General features: G+C 36.3%; 1 protein-coding gene and 1 long non-coding RNA gene across 2 annotated transcripts in view; one reads left to right on the forward strand and one right to left on the reverse strand.

The window, feature by feature from the left end:
- Positions 6,266–9,723, reverse strand: DCAF8L1 (DDB1 and CUL4 associated factor 8 like 1). Its single transcript, NM_001017930.2, has one exon. It carries the CDS (start codon positions 9,606–9,608, stop codon positions 7,806–7,808), a length of 1,803 nt encoding a protein of 600 aa, NP_001017930.1. The 5' UTR covers positions 9,609–9,723; the 3' UTR covers positions 6,266–7,805.
- Positions 12,158–23,068, forward strand: part of LOC105373151 (uncharacterized) — a 67,568-nt gene continuing 56,657 nt past the window's right edge. Inside the window, exon 1 of the long non-coding RNA XR_950539.2 lies at positions 12,158–12,241. This is a non-coding gene — a long non-coding RNA (uncharacterized LOC105373151). The remainder of the gene's footprint in view (positions 12,242–23,068) is intronic.

Raw genomic sequence — 23,068 nt, forward strand, 5'->3', positions numbered from 1 at the left:
GCTGAGAAGTTTGATTTTGTAGCTTTAACTTTAATTTGAAAAAGCAAAAACTGTCATAAATGAAGAGGATTGAGAAGCAAGACTTGTCAAAAAGAATTATACATGGATACAAAAGTTAGAGAGAATCCTAACTTAAAACTGGATATGGCTACCAACATACCTCCTTTCATATTTTTTCCAAGTAGTATCTGTTGAGCCAAAGATAAAACAAAGCAAAACAAGCAAAAAAAAAACTTCACTATACCTCAGGTTAAATTAACTAAAACTAATTGAAGAACCTAGAAAGAATCTCACTAGTTGCAAAAGGTAACAGAACATAATTGAGAAATATAATTTTCAGCCTGAGCCTAAATCCTTTAATAGAGAGCATCAATACTAAGAAAAATTAAGTGATTCTTTAAAAATAATGAGCTATCATGCAAGGTTAATATATAGTATATTACTAAGTAAAAATAACATTTAAAAATCATTTAGTAATATGTATAGAATGATCTCATTTTTGTGAACACCTTGATGAAGGGAAGCAACTATGTATTTATGAATACTTTTGAATATATCCATAGAGGCACAAAAAAGATGCAAAAGGACACTGAACAAACTGATTAACATTGGTAATCTGTGGAGAGAGAAGTTATCACATTTATTCGTAAACTTTGTATTACTTCAGTTGTTAAAACAAGCATGCATTATTTTTAATATCTAAAATATGTAAATTGGAAAAGCATAAGGCCAATATAACCGTGGGCAATTCAGAAAATAGTGAGAATATTACTGATTAAAATATAAGAAATGTGATCAAAGCACTATTCATTGAAAGAAGGTTCATAGGTTTGAATATGTTCCTTATAAAAAATATTTAATTAGATAGCAATTGTAGAAAGAAAAAACAAGAAAATCATCAAAAAATCAGAAAATTTGAAACAAATTCATAAATTATGGATAGTCAATTATAATACAATAAATAGAATACTAGTTTTAAAAGTATTTCATACATGAAATTTTGGCAAATTAAGTGCAGAATACTTGTTTTTTGAAAGTGTTTTATGCGTGAAATTTCAGCAAATTAAATAATGATAGAAAACATTGATAAATATAATTTGAAGCATAAAAGAGAAAAACTTCAGTGCTGTTTAGAAATATAGAGACATAATACGTCCATTCCATCAATTTGAAAAAAATTAATATATATGGAAAATAAAAATTATCTAGAATGACATAAGTATACAAAATCTGAACCAATTAACTAACATGGAAAAAAGTGAAAAATGTATCAAGATTCTCAAAAAAGTTCTAAGTAAAGATGTTGTGTTGTTTTTCTGATATAATCAGTTCCGTGCTAAATAAACTATTTAATCTTATATAAAATAATGGAAAGCCAAGCAATATGCTTTTGAATGGAGCACAATTAGGCTATCAGTAATTGACAAAGGTAATAGACAGAGAGGAGCGCATGTGCACACACACATACACATACCTCCATGCAACCATGTTTCATAATAGTCCAATCTCAAGTATATTTAAATGAGAATACCTGATTTCATGAAAAAAAGCCTCAGTCATTCATTAAGTGACTTATCTGCTGAGAAAAAAAAATAGAGCTATTTCAGGAATGAAAAGACTGCTTACTATTAGAAATTTTGTTAATATAATATGAATATAAGGACACCTCTATATCATGAAAAGTAGTGAGTTGAACTAACAGTAATTAACATTTTAAAGTGGGAGCAAGCAATAAGTAAAAATGTCCAGGTATGATCCTGGGAACTCATTTCAGTTTGCTAAGCAATTAGTTGGCTGAGACCTAGAGCACCCCCTACTCCCAGGGAGAGGAGGTGTACTTTTACTCAGCTTCTCCAGGGATGGATGACTTCCTACTATTGAGAGCAGGGCTACACACTTATCATGAACTTCAGTGTTTCCAAAGGCAGGGCAGCTAGCTTTCCCAGAGAACCTTGATATCCTAGTACCACAACATTTTGTTCCCACAGTGATGAGTTTGTTCTCACAATTGACCTCTAACAAGGAAAAGTAGGAAACAGGAAGTGTCCCTCCATATGACTGACCATGGCATGGCTCCTTGTGGAAAGATGGAAAAATCAGAATATACAGGCCTTCTCTTGCTACTCTTGCCATGTAAATTTCTCCAATGAAACCTGTTCCTTAATCTCTTCCTTATGATACTGTGCATTTTACTCTGATCAACCACATGGTTCATGGCAAATATCTAGAATCTTGGTCATTAAAATCTAAAACAAGAAAGTAAAGAACATAGCATTCTTTTTCTAATGTAAAGAGAATAGAAACAAACCCCAAATGATGTATATGTTAGCTCCTGTCTTTTGAGAAGCAGATGCCAAGATGGGATTAAACATGCAAGAAATTTATTGGAGAAAATGCCTGTGAAGGAAAAACGGGGAGGAATCCTGAGGGAGCTGGAAGACTCATCACACTGTGGTGCAAGTCCAACCACTGTGCAGGAGAGAAAAGGAGATAAATTTGGGCAGGAAATGTATTAGACTGTGGCACAGTTATAAGAAGATTTCAACAGTCCTTGAGCCAAAATGGGCTGTCGGAAGAGCCCTGTGTTTTCCAGAATGGGTTTGTCTTAGCATCTCTGCCACACTGTCATTAGCTGGGAACAGCTCATGAGAAGCATGGCATTTGTGCCAATGTCACAATGGAAGGCAATAGCTGAGGACCTCTGTCAATTATTATCCCCGCAGTTAGACCTCTGAAAGCCTCATTCTCATGATTGCCATAGTGTAGGTTTTAAATAAGAGAAAACCACAAGAATCGGTAGATAACATAACAATATGCTTGGAAAAGCCAAGAAGATGAACACCAAAACATTTATTTTTTAAAAGATGGTTTAAAATTCATCTGTGGGGATGGTGATGTTCTGGAATTAAATTGCTTTGCAGGTAAGAACACTATGTGGTATGAGGTGTGGTATAGCAAGGACTGTATTTATTCACGATTGCATAATTCAGGAATAATAATAAACCAACGACCATATATAAGCCTCAATATCTCATGACACTATATCCAGTTTTTATATGCTGTGCTGATAACTAGAAAAACAGAATAAATGTATCTTAATAGATTATATTATCACAGTTTTATAATAGGAGAATATTAAAATTGACTGTCTTAAAAAGAAAAATGTAAAAAAAGTCTGCATATATGCAATGAAGTAGTATTTAGTTATTTAATAAATCAGTCATTTCAAAGAATTTGTGCTGAAATGGTAAGATTTTCGAAATAAGTGAAATTTATCAGTATATAGCTCTGTTTCTGGTGTGGTCCTGATTACACACACATACACACACACACACACACACACACACAGAAAAAGCAGATGCAAGGAAACAAACATAAACACTCATGCATAACTTCTGAAGGTTGAATTAGGAATAATTTGGTGTTTATCCTTTATGCTTTTTTCAAAATTTTTATTATGCATAAAATGCAGTCAGAAAATGATTTTGTAAAATAATTTTAAAATATACAAACCATCATAGTAGAAACGTGGTCATCATTGATGCTGTTTTTCAAATATTTCTGGTACCCTGCTTCCAAGCGCATGGTAGGAATGCTCTTCCTGGTGGCTTCATAGTTAAGGGGGGGCCATGTGACTAGACTGAAACAATGAGTTTAGAGGAGAAGCATGATGTGTCACTTCAAGGCTGAAGCATTTAATTGCTGATGTAAGATACTCCAAAGTTCTTTTTCCTCTCTGCATTGATGACCAGAAATGTCGAAAGTGGTGGATGCTTCATCAGCTTGAATATCTGAGAAGCAACCAGGAGCAAAGCCCCTCTGCAAACTTGTGATTGACATTTAGCATTAGTAAAAAATAAACCTTTGTTTTTAAAGCACTGAGATATGCCAGTTGTAGTCTTTATAACATAATCTAGTCCTTTGTGACTGCCACAAAATTGGTTACTAGAAAATGGGTACTGCCATAAGAAAAACCTCAAATATGAGGCATTAGCTTCAGGACTCAGTGTCAGATGGGAAGAAAACAGTTACAGCAAAGTCCCCGCATGCGTATGCGCACGCGCGTGCACACACACACACACACACACACACACATACACACACATCTCAAAAATAACTGTAGACAGTACTTCTGTGGTATTCTTGCCAAAATGAATAACCTCAATGTGATCATAAGAAAACATCAGGAAAACTCAAAATAGGATGTATTTTACCAAATGCCTGATCAGTACACTACAAAACTGTCAAGGTCATGAAAGACAAGAAAAGAGTAAAAAAAAAGTCACACATGAGAGGAGGCTAAGGAGATCCAACAATTAACGTATATTATTGGATACTGGAAAAGAATAAAAACATTAATGGGAACATTGAAGAATTTTGAATTAGCTCTATAATATAGTTAATATTGTTAATTTCCTGGTCTTGATAATTATACTATTGTTAAGAAGATGTTAATGATACAGGAAGCCGGGTGAAAGGAATATGAGAACTCTCTGTACTGTTTTTGTAACTTTTTTGTAAATTTAACTTATTTAAAACTAAAATAAAAGATATGGTGGAAGGAGAACTGTGTAGCTTTGTCAAAATGTCATGCAAAGGCGAGTAAAAAATTCTTCATGCAAAAAACTAAAAGAATTGTGTGTGTGTGTGTGTGTGTGTGTGTGTGTATCAAGTTCAATTTCTCCCTTGAGGGACCTATAATTGCTCCAGATGGCAAACGTTCAAGTCTAAGTAACCAGGGGATTTATTCAGTCCAAAGCATGTGGGGGAGGTTGCATCAGTCAGGGTTCAATCAGAGAAACAAACGCTCAGAGTGATTCACATATAAGAAGGGACTTATAATAGGGTCTAGGCCTTATTGAATTGTGGAAACTGGTTAATCAGTCTCAGCGAGGCTTTTGTCTTTGCATCAGATGCTGAAACCTGAAGTCAGCAGGGAAGTCAGGAAGAGGAGATGATGCAAAGCAGAGGAAGCAAGGATAAATGGAATCCATGAGGACTATCTGGAGCTCTCAAGGACTGACTGGGACCCATGTTGATCTTCCACTGCCTCCAAACCTCCAATTTCAATGACATCAATGCCCTGAAAAAAAAAAGTGGGCGTTCTTTTTTATGGAGCTGGTGAAGAAGGAGGAAGATATGAGGGAGAACTGGAGCAATTGTGGGCCCAACTGCTGCCTCACACCAAGGTAAGCCAGGATATAAGCAAAAATATTCATGAGCTGCAGCAGCACCTTTCTGAGCATAAAACAAATGTGGCTACTACTTTACCTTTGCCTCCCAATTCTTTTACCAAATGCCTCTGGTAGCACAAGCAATCTCAGAACCATTCAGGGAACTCTGAGTAAAGTTTTAGTTTAGCTAAGTGAGCAGAATATAAATCCCCACAGAGGCAGACCTTCTAAACAGCAGGTGGAAAAAGAACTGCGTAATTTATCTGCTTTCACTTTTGCTCTCATTGACACCGAGTGTCACTTGAAATACCAAATGATGTTTTTAATGTTTTGTTAATATTATTGCTGGTATGCGTCCCATGAAGTTATACGGGATGCCCCAAACTTGGAATTCTAGTTTATAACTCTCTTCTTATGGCCCATAAATTCTCTTTTGGGACTCTTAAGATCCTTTCCTGACAGCAGACCTTGGTAGGGGCTTCTTGAGGCTCCCAGACCCCCGGGCAGTTGTCCATAACTTTGGATCTCAGTGAGCAGGAACTTCAGTCGTTACGTTCCTTTCTAAATTCTAATCTCATTTTGCAAATTACTCTACATTTTCCCCAAAACTCTTGAAATAATACTCATTTCAAGAAGTATTATCAAAGAAAAGCCATTGTTAGGACACAAGATGTTTCATTACATCTTTCTTTCCCAAGAAAATTCTGCAAAGAATGATGTGGTATAGGCTGGATGTGTTGGCTCATGCCTGTAATCCCAGTACTTTGGGAGGCTGTGGCGGGCGGATCACCTGAGGTCAGGAGTTCGAAACCAACCTGGCCAACATGATGAAACCCCGTCTCTACCAAAAATACAAAAATTAGCCGGGTGTGGTGGCACATACCTGTGGTCCCAGCTACTCAGGAGGCTGAGACAGGAGAATCACTTGAAACCAGGAGGCAGAGGTTGCTGCGAGCCAAGATTGTGCCACTGCACTCTAGCCTGGGTGGCAGAGTGAGACCCTATCCCCTCCCCAAAAAAATGGTGTGGTATAGTTCATCGGTGTTGGGGAAAAGGTGATCTTCTGAATTCATTTACACAAATAACACATATAAAATAAAAATGAATATTTTTATTGAACAGTAATTTAACATCTAGTAACTTAAATTTATATTAAGTAAAGCTTAAGACAATTTTTAAAACAATTTAAACTCGAGGACAGCTGAGAGAACTTTAAGCAATCCATGGATGTCAAATAGGATTTTTCTACCAACTACATCACTTGTAAGTATAAACAATTTTTACTGCAACAATTTTTAAAACAAACTCATAAAACAGCTAAATTTTAAGCAATGCATGGATGTCAAATAGGATTTTTCTACCAACTACATCACTTGTAAGTATAAACAATTTTTATTGCAACAATTTTCAAAACAAACTCATAAAACAGCTAAATTTTAAGCAATGCATGGATGTTAAATAGGATTTTTCTACCAACTGTATCAAATGGTTATGTGTAAGTATAAACAATTTTTATTGCAACTTATTCTTAAAAGTTAATTAAAATAAATGTTTTCAAATATGAGAGATTTTTATATTCCTATCTGGTATCTTATAGGAGATGCTTGCGCCAGGAGGACTTCCTGGAATGTAATCCTGTGGGAGTTCCCAACCATAAAACTTCAAGAACATTTAATGCATAGAGTAAACAATGTCATGTGATTAAATTTAATTTAGTTCTTACCAGCTTCAGTGTGCTCAAATTAATCAATATTATTAACATATTGATTCAGAAAATGTGGATAATCCCAAGTTATTTGCTCTGAGGAGATGAATTATCTGGTTAGGAATTCATCTACACACTACTTCTTGTTTTCCTTTTCTAAGGCTCTGTGTGTATGTGTGTGTGCATAGCTGGCCAGGAGCTCTGTGCCATCGTGGCTGTACACAATGCAGGTGATGTTTGTTGGAAAATCACAATTAACCAGATGATGAAGAGTGAATTTCTTGAGTACTCCATTGTTTTCTTTCTCATCAATTCTCCTCTGGTCATAAATCCTTAAAAACCGATCATGTCCACCCACTGCGAATTGGTAAATATTGGCAGGATTCATAGAGATTGTATACAGTCCCACTTTCTTATTCTTCTCTCTTGTTACTACAACTTTTGAAGCTGTGTGTGTGTGTGGCCAAGTGTTAGGAATTAATCTACACACTACTTCTCTTTTCCTTTTCTGAGACTGTGTGTATGTGTGTGTCAGTATTCAAAGAACTATGGTTTGCCTTATTTTACCTCTAAAGAATAAACACGTTTATGAAATTTTCAACTCAACTGAAGAACTTTATCTTCAAAATAAATTGGTAAAAAATGAAAAAACTAAAAAGTAATAGCTTTCAGAATGTCTGAAATGAGTAGATACATCTAATAAGGCCATTAATTTTTTCAACAAAATTATGCAATTTTAGAGGTCAATTATAAGGGAACAAAGGAAAAGAGGCATAAATAAGTTGTGTATGCACTCATATAAGGGGTAACAAAAACAGAAGACAAAAAGCAAATCTGTTAATCAATTGACAATTCTAAATTAGTCAAACTGAATTTTAAAGTCCAGTGTACTTAGGTGGCATCTAGCTGGACTGGATATGAGGCCTTCAGGATGGTATGCACTGCACTCGATCTTGGCCCTCCTCCTCGGATGTATCTGAGGTGCTGGAAGACTCATCCAACTCTTCTTCATCTGGGAACTCAGCTCCATGATCTCTCCAGCCGGGTTGATGAGCTCTCTGTAACAGGTGACGCACGAAGAACCGAAGCATGCGGTTGTCAAACGAGTCCGTATAGTTCAAGTTGTCTTCATCTCGCTCCTGCTTGTTCTTCTTAATCACATCTTTTAACCCAGTAAGCTCAGTGGCAGTTTTAGCTGTGGGTGTCCAGATCCTGACATGCTGATCTAGGCCACTGGTCGCCAACACAGGTAGGTAAGGGTGGGGTTCAAGACAGTTTACTATATCTCCTCTGTCCCCCTCCATGAACTGGATGATCTGGGAGGATGATTTCTCCCAGAAGAAGACGTGCCCACAATCACTACCGCTCACGACAAACTCACTCCGGGGGCCATAGAAATTAACACATTTGATTGTGTCATTATTTCTGTGCCCCTTATATCTCTTAACATATTGAGCACCATCACTGAGAGAGGAGTTGAAGAGGTAAATATCTTCATCATTGTAGCTGGCCAGGAGCTCTGTGCCATCGTGGCTGTACACAACGCAGGTGATGTTTGTTGGGAAATCACAATAAACCAGATGATGAGGAGTGAATTTCTTGAGTACTCCATTGTTTTCTTTCTTATCAATTCTCCTCTGGTCATAAATCCTTACAAACTGATCATGTCCACCCACTGCAAATTGGTAAATATTGGCAGGATTCATAGAGATTGTATACAGTCCGACTTTCTTATCATTTTCTCTTGTTACCACAACTTTTGAAGCTGGCCGGTCTTGCCTGAGGTCAATGGTGAACACAACGGCATCTTCACCTGAAGTGAGGAACTTATAAGGAGAGTCTGGCTCCAGAGCCAACTCGTGGGCAGGTCCCCTGTGCTTGGCCACACGCTTAGTATTCTCGCAATATGATGCATTAATTAGTTCTGCTACCCGTACCTGTCCATCATGGCCACACATGGCCAGAGTGGAATCACCACAGTTAGGAAAGAACTTAGCCTGGATGACATTAATATCGTGACCACTCTCAAAGTTCAGTACTGGCTTCTGCCGCACCCAGTCCCACACTATCACCCTTAAGTCATCACCGCTACTGGCCAGTCGGGTGCCACGCTGGTTAAAGTGTATGGTACTGACAGAACCGGCATGGCTTCCAAGAAGATACTGCAGGCGGAAACGCTGCACAAAGGTTCTTGCCCCACAGGCCTCATATACAAAGCGGGCACTTGAACCCAGCTGCCGCTGGCGAAGAGCAGTAAGGACTTGCCAGCGAGATCGGGGCAGGGCAGATGTCTCTGAGGAAATCCACTCCTCCAACGCCTGATCCTCGTCTAACAAACACTGATCATGGTTGGTGCCACCGCATCGTGGACACATCCGAGGCTGTTCTTCCTCCTCCCCTTCCTCCTCCATCTCTTCTTCTTCCTCCTCCCTTTCTGTCTCCTCTCCCACTAACGGGTAACCAAATAAACCTTCACCCATGCTTTCAAGTTCGACGTCTTCACTTGAACTTTCTGAGTCTGTGTTTTGATTTTCTGTGCTGGCATCGTTCAGGAAACCACCATCCCTGGTATCACCACCATCTCCGGTCGATGGCTCTGTGGCTGCCATTTCAATGTCTGAGGAGGCCGCCGTCACCGCTGCTACTCCAGACTGCTCCTCTGGGCTGCTGAACAGGCTTTCAGTCACTAAGTCTGGTAAGCCACCTGTGCTGCCCTCTTGGTGGGACATCTCGAACGATGTTTGCTGTAGCTGATCTGGAACTGGAAAAGCCAACCCCTAAAAGCTCAGGGAAGAGAGCACGCCTGCCCCGAGGACGGACGGTCGGAGAAGGCAGTAGGTAAGCAGCAAAGAGACACCAATCCGATTGGCTGAAGGGGGCGACAAACTAATCCACCAATGCTGACGTCAGTATGGGAGCCAGTGAGGTTCAGAAGACTTCTTATCTGCTCGCCTCCTCTCAGTGTCGACTGCTCTAATTTTTCCAGGCCCAGAGCCACACCCCCACGGGCATCTTACACTGTGAGTAGCTGTGGTTTTTTTCAAGATCGAAAGTTGCCACACTTTGGAAAATGCTTTTATTTGAAAGGTCACGAAGTGAATGCAAAGAACTCTGATAGTCTTGCCACCAGACGGCAACATTTTGGCATGACAGTGAGGTCTCTACTATAGGTGTATCTTAAGTTAGACATAGGCTCTGAGATGAGGATGTATCTTTGATTAATTTAAGAAAATGATCTAAGGGAAGACAGCGGACGCCAAGGAAGAGTGAAATCTCAGGTGAACACCCCTCAGAGGATAGCTTCAGCACGATCCTCCTGGGGAACTCTGGAGAGTAAGTTACGTCTGAGTTATCCTTACACCAGGCAAGGGAGTGAACTTTCATACTCCTACACTGTTCAGTCCTTGATTAAAGGCCACCCTGGGAGGGATGAGCATATCAACTCCCAGATGTCCCAGATGCTTTAAAATCTCTTCACCTGTGGGCAAAAGCTCCTTCAGCAGCTTGAAGACTAAAGAGCTGTGCATTAGTACTGATGCTTGGAAGGGAAAGGGAAGTAGATAGTACAAAAAGGGATTTGAAAGGATCTTGCAGGAGCATGAACATTAACAGCCACAAGGTAGCTAATACAGCGACTATTAGAAAGGGCTTTGTTACTACTGTGTATGCTGATGAAAGTACAACTTAAATAAAACTTTAAGAAGTGTATAGAAGCCTAATTTGGAAGGTGAAACTAAAACTAAAGTCATGGTGAGCAAATGCTATTCACTTCCTATATCTTGTTAAATGATGGTTCAAATCCCACAGTCGCCATACCCCTCTTCATGCCAGTTGAATGAATAATCTGGGGCACAATGGTGAAGTGCAGAGACTGACAGTCTTAAATAATAAGACTCGAAAGTCTAAAAGAGTCCTTGACCCAAGGTCTACCGATGAATGATGTGTTAGCAGATGTGAAAACATTAATCTCCTTGTGCATCATCAGAGCTCTTGGGTGACCAGGACCAATGTTAATGATCAGTAACATTTTGAAAGGAATCTCCTTTTCTGAACAGTAGAACTCAACAGGGGATTAAAAATATTCAGCAAACTATGCTGTAAACAGATGTTCTGTCACCCAGGCTTTTTTTTTTTTTTTTTTGAGATGGAGTTTCCCTCTTGTTGCCCAGGCTGGAGTGCAGTGGCATGATCTCGGCTCACTGCCACCTCTGCCTCCTGGGTTCAAGCGATTCTCCTGCCTCAGCCTCCTGAGTAACTGGGACTACAGGCATGTGCCACCACACCCAGCTAATTTTGTATTTTTAGTAGAGACAGGGTTTCTCCATGTTGGTCAGGCTGGTCTCGAACTCCCAAACTCAGGTAATGATCACGCCCACCTTGGCCTCCCAAAGTGCTGGGATTACAGTGTGAGCCACCGCGCCCGGCCTGTTGTTCCTTTTTTAGAGCACATAGTAGTTTTAGCATGGTTCTTACAGGCCCTAAGATTTTCCAGATGGTAAATGAGCATTGGCTTCAAGTTAAAGTTACTAGCTATATTAACCCCCATCAAGAGAGCCAGGCTGGCCTTTGAAGCTGTGAAGCCAGGCATTAATTTCTCATCTCCAGTTATGGAAGTCCTGCATGGCATCTACCTCCAATAGAAGGCTGTTTGTTCTACAGTGAAAATCAGTTGTTTAGTGTAGCCACCTTCATCAATTAGATATGCTTTGTATGAGAGAACTGAGGTGATCCAAATATTCAGTGATCATTAAGTGGGACGATTTGTCAAGTACTACTGGTTCTTGTGCTATTTGACAAATATTTCTAGTTTTTCTCCCATCGATGTATATGGTAGGCCTGTACTTTCAGGTCTTTATATGGTTGGATGGGACCGTGTGACCAGATTTACCTGCTCCCTTGTGAGAGGAAGTGATGTTTATTATTACTGAGCCAGCTCGTTTAATTGCTAATGTGTGGCCATCCATACATCTCTTTCCCCAGTTTGCTCATGACCTGCAATGTTCCAGATGTCAGCTAATCTCCACGAATATCTACCATGAGCAGAGAACACTTCTCCTATTCCTCCCCAGTAACCCATAATGGATATGTAGCATAAGCAAAATATCAACTTCATCATCATCATCTTTGGAAAATTCGGGAATTTTTGTTATTGCAGAATAGCATAGTCTATCTGACTGAGACAAAACTATATTGTCGATTATTTATTTAAATTTTAGAACTTAGGTCAGAATATTAAGTTATGTTTTATATTTACAGGATGACAAAACATCCAAGTTATTAAAGATTGTAAGTTTCTGACTATCCATTTACAAGACAGTCATGTTTATTGCTCCTAAACAACAAAGTACTCAGCACAGGATAGGTAAGTAGTAAGTATTTTTCTGGTGAATTCGTGTATTAAAGTTGTATATTTATGAATGAATATATAGAAGAATGAAACAAAACCAAAAAAATTTCTATTGAACATTCCATGGAGGATGGATAATAGTGAATAGCCTAAGGGAGATATCCATTTTGAGTTTAATGTTAACGTAAACATCTAATATTGAACAATTTTACATCAGGGTGATGCAAACAACATTGCCTAAGACTCAGGCTGAAGAACATTCTCTGAAATTTTCATAAGAAACAGTAAATTTATGTTATCTTTGTAAAGTATCCGCTAAGGGGAGGCAGATTCAAAACCATGTTTAAAATGTTAAATTAAGGCTGGGCACAGTGGCTTATGCCTGTAATCTCAGCACTTTGGGAGGCTGAGGCAGGCAGATTACTTGAGGTCAGCAGTTCGAGACCAGTCTGGCCAACATGATGAAACACCATCTCTACTAAAAATTAGCCTAACGTGGTGGCAGGCGCCTGTATTCCCAGCTACTCAGGAGACTGAGGCAGGAGAATCGCTTGAACCCGGGAGGCAGAGGTTGCAGTGAGCCAAGATCATGCCACTGCACTCCATCCTGGGTGGCAGAGTAAGACTCCATTTCAAAATAATAATAATAAAATAAAATGTTAAGATGTAAAAACGAAAAGAAAATGTATGTTTATATGTTCATACTAGGCTTTCTTTTCTGTCATATATTGGGGTTAAATTTGAGACTCAACATAAAATTGCTTATAGGAAAGTATATTTACCCATAATGTATGAGAAATCTAAGTAAGATTAATTGCTAAATATCATACATCATTTCAACTGCATTACTTCCTCTCATAATAACTAGATTACTTTTCACTTTTGTGAGTTAGTGTACAATACTGGTAGAATTGAGAAAAGTAGGTCATTGACCACGTCCAGATGGGCAAAGATATTTAGCTTGTGGAGAAGTAGGCCAATCGCACCACAATGAAGACATCTGCCTGCTTAATTACTGCTGCATTAAACGATAACCTTCACATTTTCTTCTAGCTCTACTGTCACTGAAAAGTTTCAGTGTGACACAGTCTGTCAACCCAGAGGGTTAAAATTTTAACATGTATTTCTTGATAATTGTAATATTTGTACATTTTACATGTTTTGTGAGAATCTCATGTTAAAATTAAATCATCATAATATTATTGTCTCTTCACTAACCACTGCATTTCAATGTAAGATGTAAAGTATAATTGATTCCATTTAATTCAGCCAGCTGTTTTATTTTAAGAACAATTTGCTTTTCTCAGCTTATCTTTCCCATTTTTCCTTCCCATGTTTCTGAGAGGAAGAGTTATTTGGTCAGCAGGAAACATTCTTGAACATCAAATATTTAAAACTATGCAGCCACAAATTTTAAATAGTATCCATGTTAGGCCTCTGCTAAGAACAGAGATTTTGAATCAGGAGGTAATTTTTTTTGTGGTTTGCTAAAAGGTTCATTAACAACAATAAAATTGTGAGCAGTTCAGTAAGCTTTGACATTTGTGAGGTGTGCACTAAAAGTATTACCACATATGTTTGCCTTTTCTTTTTATAATCAAATTTTTTATGAAAAATTGTCTGAAGATATTATTTTCAAAATAGTAAGAAAGAAAAATGGCAAAGAACAATAAAAGGTCTTGTATGTCATTCTACTCTTTAATTAAAAAACTCAACAAACTAATAAATAAGACATGGTGGAACCTGCAGCATATTCCATAGCAAAACAATATTAATAGTACAGAGTTAAATTTTAAGTATTAATAAAATTTTCCCACTGACATTTATGGTATTGCCTTGACATTTTGTTTACTTCTTTTTAAAAAGCACATCTCTCAGGGAGCAGTGGCTCATGCCTGTAATTCAAGCATTTGGGGAGGCTGAGGCAGGTAGATAGCTTGAGCCCAGGAGTTCGAGACCAACCTGGGCAAGAGATCCCATTTCTACAAAAATACAAAAATTAGTTGGGTGCGGGGACTTGTGCCCAGCTCCTCAGTAAGTTGAGGCGGGAGGATCACTTGAGCTCAGGAGGTCAAGGCTGCAGTGGGCTGAGATTGCACCATTGCACTCCAACCTGGGCAAAAGAGTGAGATCCTGGCAAAAAAAAAAAAAAAATTAAAAACCATCACCTAATTCAGTACTTTCTATATAGTAGACGTGCAGTAAACATTTGTTGAATTGATTTGTTAATTTTTATTTAAAATTTTAGTAAACACATACCTGTATAAACTTTCCCTTTCGTCAACATTTGCCCTAACTCATTAAGTTACATCTTGGAATGTTCTATTAATAAAATATATTTCTGTGGTCAGGTGCAGTGGCTCACACCTGTAATCCCAGCACTTTGGGAGGCCAAGGCAGGTGGATCACGAGGTCAGGAGATCGAGACCATCCTGGCTAGCACGGTGAAACCCTGTCTCTACTAAAAATACAAAAAATTAGCCGGGCGTGGTGGCAGGCACCTGTAGTCCCAGCTACTTGGAAGGCTGAGACAGGAGAATAGTGTGAACCCGGGAGGCGGAGGTTGCAGTGAGCTGAGATGGCGCCACTGCACTCCAGCCTGGGCGACAGAGTGAGACTCCATCTCAAAAAAAATAAAAATAAAAGTAAAAATAAATACAGAAAGAAAATATATTTCTGTAGGAAAAAACATACCTTAAGGAACCATTTAGACTTTATCAGAGGTTAAATGCAAGTGCTTTCTAATTGTACAAGGAGAATCCTCAAAAAATATGTAATCTGTCTTCCCTTACCACTTAGCTCCACATACACATGATGTATCCAGTGTTCATAGTATTTTGTATGTCTAATTTAGCTTCTGACAGAAATTTCTGTTAATGCACAGATACAATTTTATGAAGTACATGTCAGTAGTTATTTGCCATGTGGGGTTTTGAGCTTTTAATTTTAGCTCTATTTGGGTAGCAGTAGCTTGAAATTTGAACCTGAGCCTTGAGTGTCCTTTCAATACAAAATAAGTGAGGAGCAAAAATCCCATTGATCTTCCCCATCTCACAGTGGAATCAGTATACTGCAGTGGCATGTTTTGATTGATCGACACAGATTTACTCCATCTTTTATGTGGGAGACACTACTAGGTGGTGAGGAAGGATAATAGAAAAGGGATGTTTGTTGCTCTTGAGAAACTTCTGATATCTAGTTGAGGAGCTGGGAAATATACGGAAATATATGGGACTTATATGGAATATTGTTCCCATATAAGTCAAAGAATTTTTATGACAACCATTGTGATCTTATCAACTTTAGAGTCTCAAGATGCTTTTATCCTCATTTTGTTACACAATGTATTTAATTACCTTACTATTTTTACCTACATCATGGTAGATCCTTCTTATTAGATTGCAAACTTCTTGAAGAAGCATATTGTGAGACAGTTGTTTTCATGATTTATGTGGTTGGTACTATTAGAAAGCTTTTCAAAATATAGTGAGTAATCAAGAGATATGGTGAGACATCCATGAAATTCTCTGTTGCATCATGAAACTGTCCTTCTAGTTCACCTCTTCTATCCTTTGTCTTTTTCTTGATTCCTGAAGGGGTGTGGTATCCTTAGGAAAAAATCACAAAGAGGCAGAGAAAGAAAAATAAAATAATGCGTTTCAGTTATGTTATGAATAGCTGACAATATTAGAAAAAGAAAGGTGGCTTTGTCCTCTCTGAAAAATTTAAAGGATCTAAAATCCCTCCAGTAACAAAGAGTAAGAATCTGTTTTCTTTCTAGAAATAGCCAGTGGTGTAACCTAGTACCTAGGGAGCCTTGTTACCCATCTGAAGGACCTAGATCCTGATGGTTAAGTAAAGACAAGGCTGAGAGGACCATAGAGAGCAAAAGGAGAGTGATGCCTAGTGCCAGTCTGTCCCACAAACCCTAGCCAACCAACGGATGAAATGAGTACTCAGACACAGTATGCAGTGTAAAAGCAGCTAGGGGACTGCCTGGCTCTAGTGGCCAAAGTTCAGCCCTGAGAAGCTGGAGCTGCTTGCTTTTATTCAGTGCAGGCACAATGCTGAAAGCCTGGAGCATACACAACCTGCAGGTAATTAACATTTATTGTTCCCCTTTCAGGGAATGTCACACAGGTGGATGTTCAAAGGTCAGTTCCTAGACAACTTCAAACAAACAAGCCTGATCAAGATAACTTCCCCTTTACTTCCTTGCACATACTCCTCGCCCTCTGCCTCAGGGTTAGAAAACAGCTGCCTTCAGCTATTCTCCCCTAAAGCTTTGGAGAGCCTTCTGACCTTTCAGAAGGCCTACTCCATTCCCTATAGTTTCCCCCACCACTCTGATTGATCTCCTACAGCCTAGAAGAGATATGAAATGAAATATAACAAAGAAAAACTGAAGTATAAACTTTCTTTTAGATTCCATTTTCATGACCCTCTGATGTTCTGCAATAGATCCTCAAATTTATTTTCTTCTGTCACACCTTTATGGACTTTGTAAGCACAAGCAAAGGATAACAAGGAGCACCATAGAATGTTAGACCTGGAAAAGACTTAGAATTGAAACTTAGGAGGAACCCTCTAATTAATATGTGAGATTAGTAACTGATACCAAGAAAAGTTAAATTCCCTACAGATTAGAAAGAATTTATGCTTATGAAAGACTAGCAAAAAGGGGCCAATAACCATACTTACCTAATGTTGATAATTTTTTCCATGGGGGTACCCTATTATTATAGCTTTATTTTCTTTTCCAAAACATGCATGGAAATAACAGGTGCTTCTTCATGTATTCATTTTCTCATGAAATTAAGTATAATGTTTAGTGAGCGGGGGGCCAGGACAAACAAAAGGTGAGACATCACTTCCTCCTTTTTCTACAAATGTTATTTCTTTGTGTCATTTGTTCATTAGTGATTAATGGTTAAAAATAGTTCTGTTTGATTCATTTTATAATTGACATTCTCTATAACTTTTTTGTTTTTATTGATGAAGATTTAATTTATGTTTTGGGAGATATTTTTAATCAAGGATCTACCACTTTGTACTCAATAAATTAATTTTATCACAGTAATTGGGCTGAAACTGCATGTATGTATATATTTGTTGAAGTGCTTCCTTGTTAGTATGTAATTACATATTATCTATATCCTTAAATAAGTTTTTTCACAGTAAAAACCATCTCCTTTTCCTTTTGAATAATTAAGTACTGTATCTCTGCAAAACAATGTGATATAAAGTGGTGAATATATTAAATGCACATTGTCATCCCTAGGAAGTACATGTATTAATATTTACTAAATATCCTCTATTCTCTATACTCATGACTAGCCTGAAAGGGTGTCTCCCTTACCTTTTGGTTTTTACAGTGATGACTTGCTTTGATGTCCATGCTAATAGGGAACAAGATCATGTCCCCTGCATTTATTTTAGTTACTACAATGAATCTTTTCCTCTATTCATTGTTAACTTTTCCTCTTAAATTTGCCATTACTCAAACCAAAATGAACAGAAAAAATATTCCCACCAACTTCTAAACATAATCAGACTAAGTTCTTGCTATTAAATTATTTTACACATTCCCTCATGCAAAGTCTAGATATAATCCAACTGTGGTAATTGCTATAAATGTTATTAAAGTGTAAACAGCTAGAATTAAATATAAGGTTAAGACAAAGCAGTATTATTTAACCCTCTATTTAATGAAAAATATTCTGTGTTCATCCCATGTTTGTTAAGTATGCTTATGATATTTCATTTCTAGCTGGTGGCAAGAGAAGAAAAGTAGTAAGTGAAGGGAGAGTATACCATGACAATCTACTGGGTTAAAATTTATTTTAGAAAAAATAATAAAATCCTTTGCAGGCAAATAATTGTCCTCAGATTCATTAATAGGAGCACAGTGTTTTATGGCATTGTCATAAATAGAAATTATTCCTATATTCATCACATTTTTAATGAGTGAAAAATTATACATATGTATGTATTAGGATATAAAAACTTCAGAAAAATAATCTCTAAAGTTTATTCAGAATTGCTATTTATCAGTAGAAGTTTTGATTTTCCATAAATTTACTTCTTCAGAAAAGAAATTGCCAAAAGATATATGTATGTTGTATATCTATTGTGTGTGTATATATATATACACATATATATATAGTATATCTCTGTAGATACACAAAAGGTATATCTATATTCTATAACAGTTTCTTTGTTTCAAAAAGTCCTTTTTCACTGCCCAAATCCATATGTGTAATTGTTAGTTATATTACTATTTTTGTATATCTTTATCTATTTTCTTACTATGTTTACCTGTATTTATCCTTGCACCTAGGATATTTAGCATAATTTTAAGTTATTTTATTGGGGAAAAAACATGATAAAAAGGTCCTAAACACACACAGTTGCGTATACAAACTTACAGCCCTCTTTCCTTACAGGAGCCATCATAAATTTCTTGTGAACCTTCTGGAAATATCCCTAGCATATATCCATATTTAAAAAAAAAAATTTACTTAAATGAGTAATATACACACTTTTTACATTTGTATTTGCAGTTTGTTTATGTTTTGTTAGAATATCGTTTATGTGCTTCAATATCAGTGTGTAAGGACAGGATCTATATTTGTTTTAATAGCTAATATTGCAATTGTAGCTATCATAATTTTTTTAAAATAAAATATGACTAAAACAACCCTTAGGTGCATTTCAGGATTTAGCTATTAATTAGTAATGCTGAAATGGCAAAGATTTTACATATTTTAGTGTGTTTTTATCATGTTTATAAATGTATGTGTAGGATAAGTAAAATACTGCCAAATTGCACTTCAAATGATTCTTTTCTTTCATTTTTTTCTCACCAAATACCTCAATGAATTACAAACTTTCAGATCTCTGTTACTATAATAAAAATCTGTACCGCAACTTTTTATTCTTTTATTCTTCTATTTAGAATTTGAACCTTCTAACATGTCTGCTCATACGTTGCACATTATTTTCTTTATAAAGTGTACATTATTACATCTGCCCATTTTTTATTGTTTTGTAGATTTTTATTATTAGTATAAAATAACTTATCATATGTCAATGAAATAACCCCTTCTCCATGTAGCTGGCTAATATTTTTGCATGTTTTATTTGTATTTTGATAACTGTGTATGTTCTACTTTGCCATAAAGAAAATGTAATTCCTCCACTATTTACTAGCTGACTTCTCTGTGCCAGATCCCTATCTGTAAAACCTCTGTCTGAGGTAGGGCTAGTATTTTGTCTTTGGAAGGATTTAAGCAGCTAATCCATTTAAATTTTTAGAATAACAACTAGCACATATTAAGCAATCTGCAACTATCGGCAGCAGCAGAAGCATCATTGACACAGCTATTTTGGTTGTTTAAACAGATTTGTCAATTATTTTAGAGCTTCTAGTTTTTTGGCTTCTTTCTTGCTCAGTGTAAAATTATTAAATAGATTTTTTTAATGACTTCTGTTTTCACTCCAGTTGTCCTCAAACATTGTTTTTGATTAATTACTTGATCTGAAATGCCACATTTAATACATGCTAAATTTTCATATTTTGGAAATCTCATTCTGAACTCACTGTTTTGTTTATTCTGCCTGTGCTTTATTTTACAAATGAAAATATAGTTTAATAACTGTAATTTGTTCAGTTTTCTTATTTCACATGAAATTTAAACGTATGACAAATAATTACATTGTTTATTTTATAGGGGTCATATTAAATTTCTACATTAACTTGTGGAGAAAAGATATATTTATATATTTAGTCTTCAAGGCTAACAGCAATCTTAGGCTTCTAATAGTCTTACTTCAATTGAACTTTCAAATCTTTTCATACAAATCTTATACATTTCTAAAATTTAATTTATTTTCTCTCCTTATTATAAGTGAGATTGTTTTATTTCATTACATTTTTTAACTGGGTGCTGTTCAAATCAAAGATCTTATACCTATTCAAGGATCGGCAACCTAAGGCTATCAGGTCATATCCAGTCCACTTTATATGCTTGCGACTAAAGCTTTATTGGAAAACCTCTATGCCCATTTGATTGTGTATTATCTATGGCTACTTTCAATGCTATAAAAACAAAATTAATGTTGAAATAAGGACTGTATGGCCCAGTAAGCCAAAAATTTTTACCATCTGGTCCTTTACAGAAAAAGCCTGCTGACCCCTGCCTTCATTAATTTTATAACCATTGTATAATTCTAGTTATTCTAATAATTTTAAGCTGATTTTCTTGGGTCTCCAGGCATGTGAATCTATTACCAAATAATAAAACTTTTGCTATTTCATGTTAGTTTATGTATCTCTTATTCTATTCTCTTGCTTAATTCCATTGGTTAGTACTACAATAACAATGCAAAATAATGGTCATGACAGTAAAAATACTTTTATAATCCTAAATTAGATAAAATTTCATCTAGCATTTCACAATTAATCATACACTTGGCTTTTAATATTTATATTAAAGTATTCCCATGTTGCTAGTGTATAAAAGTATCCTACCCTTCCGCAAATTAGAACTGGGTTTTGAATTTGATGAAATCCATTTGGACACCTACAGAGAGAATCATATATATTTTTTCTCTTGATGAAATATATTAATACATATCTTAATGATTTTACTTTGTTCTATTAGTACTAGCCAATGGAATTAGACAAGAGTAAGGAATAATAAGTATATAAATTATGCTGGTTTGATGAAAAGAATTTGGAACTGTCCCTATTCTTTATACACTCTACGGTTTAAATATCATTGCATTTATACTCCCTGAAGGTTTCCTAGCAATTTTATGTTAAACTACCAAGATTTGGTACCTTTTTGAGACACATTCTTTAAAAGTATTCTCAATTTCCTTGATGGAATTGTAATGTTTAGATTGTTTACTTCTGGAATAAACTTACTATAATTAATATATTCTAAAATACACAATTAAGTAACTTTGTGGTCCTTGCAATTATTTGAGGAAGATCTTATCTTTTTTTCTTAACTGTTATTCTTTCATTTTTATTTCAAGATGTATTTGTACTTTCTTTTTAAAAATTAAATTAGCTAGTTGATTATGTTATTATTTGCTCCATTCCCCCTCAAATAACCAGCTTTCAGTTTGTTTATTATATGTATTTCTTTTAGGGTCTACTAAACATTCATCTAGGTTGCTCCCATTTTCTGTTTCCTCCATTTTCTTTCCTTATATGTATTTTATTGCTCTCTTGCTAAATTTTAAATTGAGTATTTATTTATTTATTTTATTTTATTATTATTATTATTATTTTGAGATGGAGTTTCGCTCTTGTTGCCCAGGCTGGAGTGCAATGGCGCGATCTCGGCTCACTGCAACCTCTGCCTCCCAGGTTCAAGTGATTCTCCTGCCTCAGCCTCCCTAGTAGCTGGGATTACAGTCATGCGCCACCATGCCTGGCTAATTTTGTATTTTTAGTAGACACGGGGTTTCTCCATGTTGGTCAGGCTGGTCTCGAACTCCCGACTTCAGGTGATCCCCCCGCCTCGGCCTCCCAAAGTGCTGGAATTACAGGCGTGAGCCACTACGCCCAGCCAAATTCATTTATCTTCATTTTTGCTTGTAGTATCACTTCCTGCTGAAAGAGTACATAACCGTAAGTGTAGTTTAAACAATAAGGGCATTTATTATCTCACATAGCAAATCTGGAGGCAGGGTGATTCCACAGCTGATTCAGCAGTTCCTTCATGTTTTCAAGGATCATCTTCTATTCTCTATCTTTCTAGTCTGTCATTCTTGCCATATCAGAGTTATCACCACTCATGTTTTCTAGGTAGCTACAGCAGTTCTCAGCTCCACATGCAAATTTAACTCTATCCAACAAAGCATTTGCTATTTTAAGCCCAAATTGTGGAAAGAAATTTCTGCCAGCAAGTGATTAGGAAATAGGGAGATGTTGGTTAGGAAACTAACAATGTCTGCCACAGTTTTTAAGATTTAAAATGTTAAGTTATTAGAACATTGAACACTGCTTTAGCCATATTCTATTGGTACTGATATATAATGCTTGCTTATGAGTATTTGTTGGCTATATATGACTTCTAATTTTTGTTTTCTTACAGAATTAAAAGTGTTTAAAACTTATGTATATCGTGCGTAAGACATAGTGGTTTTTCTTATTATTAATAAATTGCTTTATTACATTAAAAGAGAATGCGGTATATTTTAATATTTAGAAAATTAATAATTTTCTTATTCTTATTAATGTATGTGACCAAACATACAGTCAATTTTGTAAAATTTTGTCATGTAGGCATTTCAGATGAAGATATGGTCACTGATATTAGGGTGCAGATTTTGGTATACATGTTAGAGGGCCATTCAAATTTGTATTTACTTGATTGGACAGGAATTAATAGAAGTAAGTTAAATACACTCAATGACGTTTCATTCTTTTGTTTATTTCCATTCTTAATATATTGATCCAAATTTGATCCTCTTTCAATGAATTTTCTTTCTTTTTGCACTCCGCAACTTAATATTTCTCTTTTATTCTCATTTTTCTTCTTTGAAGTCTTATATAGCATCTCAACCTTTGTTTCAGAGAAGCCCCTTTTTTTCTAATATCCTTGATTTAATGTAGATTTCTTTAAAATGCGTAGTTATTCAGTGTGTAACTGTTTTCTAAAATTGTTTTTGTCTTTTTTTTTTTTTTTTTTTTTTTTTTTAGAGAGAGACTTTTGCTCTTATTGCCCAGGCTGGAGTGCAATGGCATGATCTCAGCTCACTGCAACCTCTGCCTCCCAGGTTCAAGTGATTCTCTCGCCTCAGCCTCCCGAGTAGCTGGGATTA

The sequence above is a fragment of the Homo sapiens genome, chromosome X (genome assembly GCF_000001405.40).
Source record: "Homo sapiens chromosome X, GRCh38.p14 Primary Assembly".
NCBI lineage: Eukaryota > Metazoa > Chordata > Mammalia > Primates > Hominidae > Homo > Homo sapiens.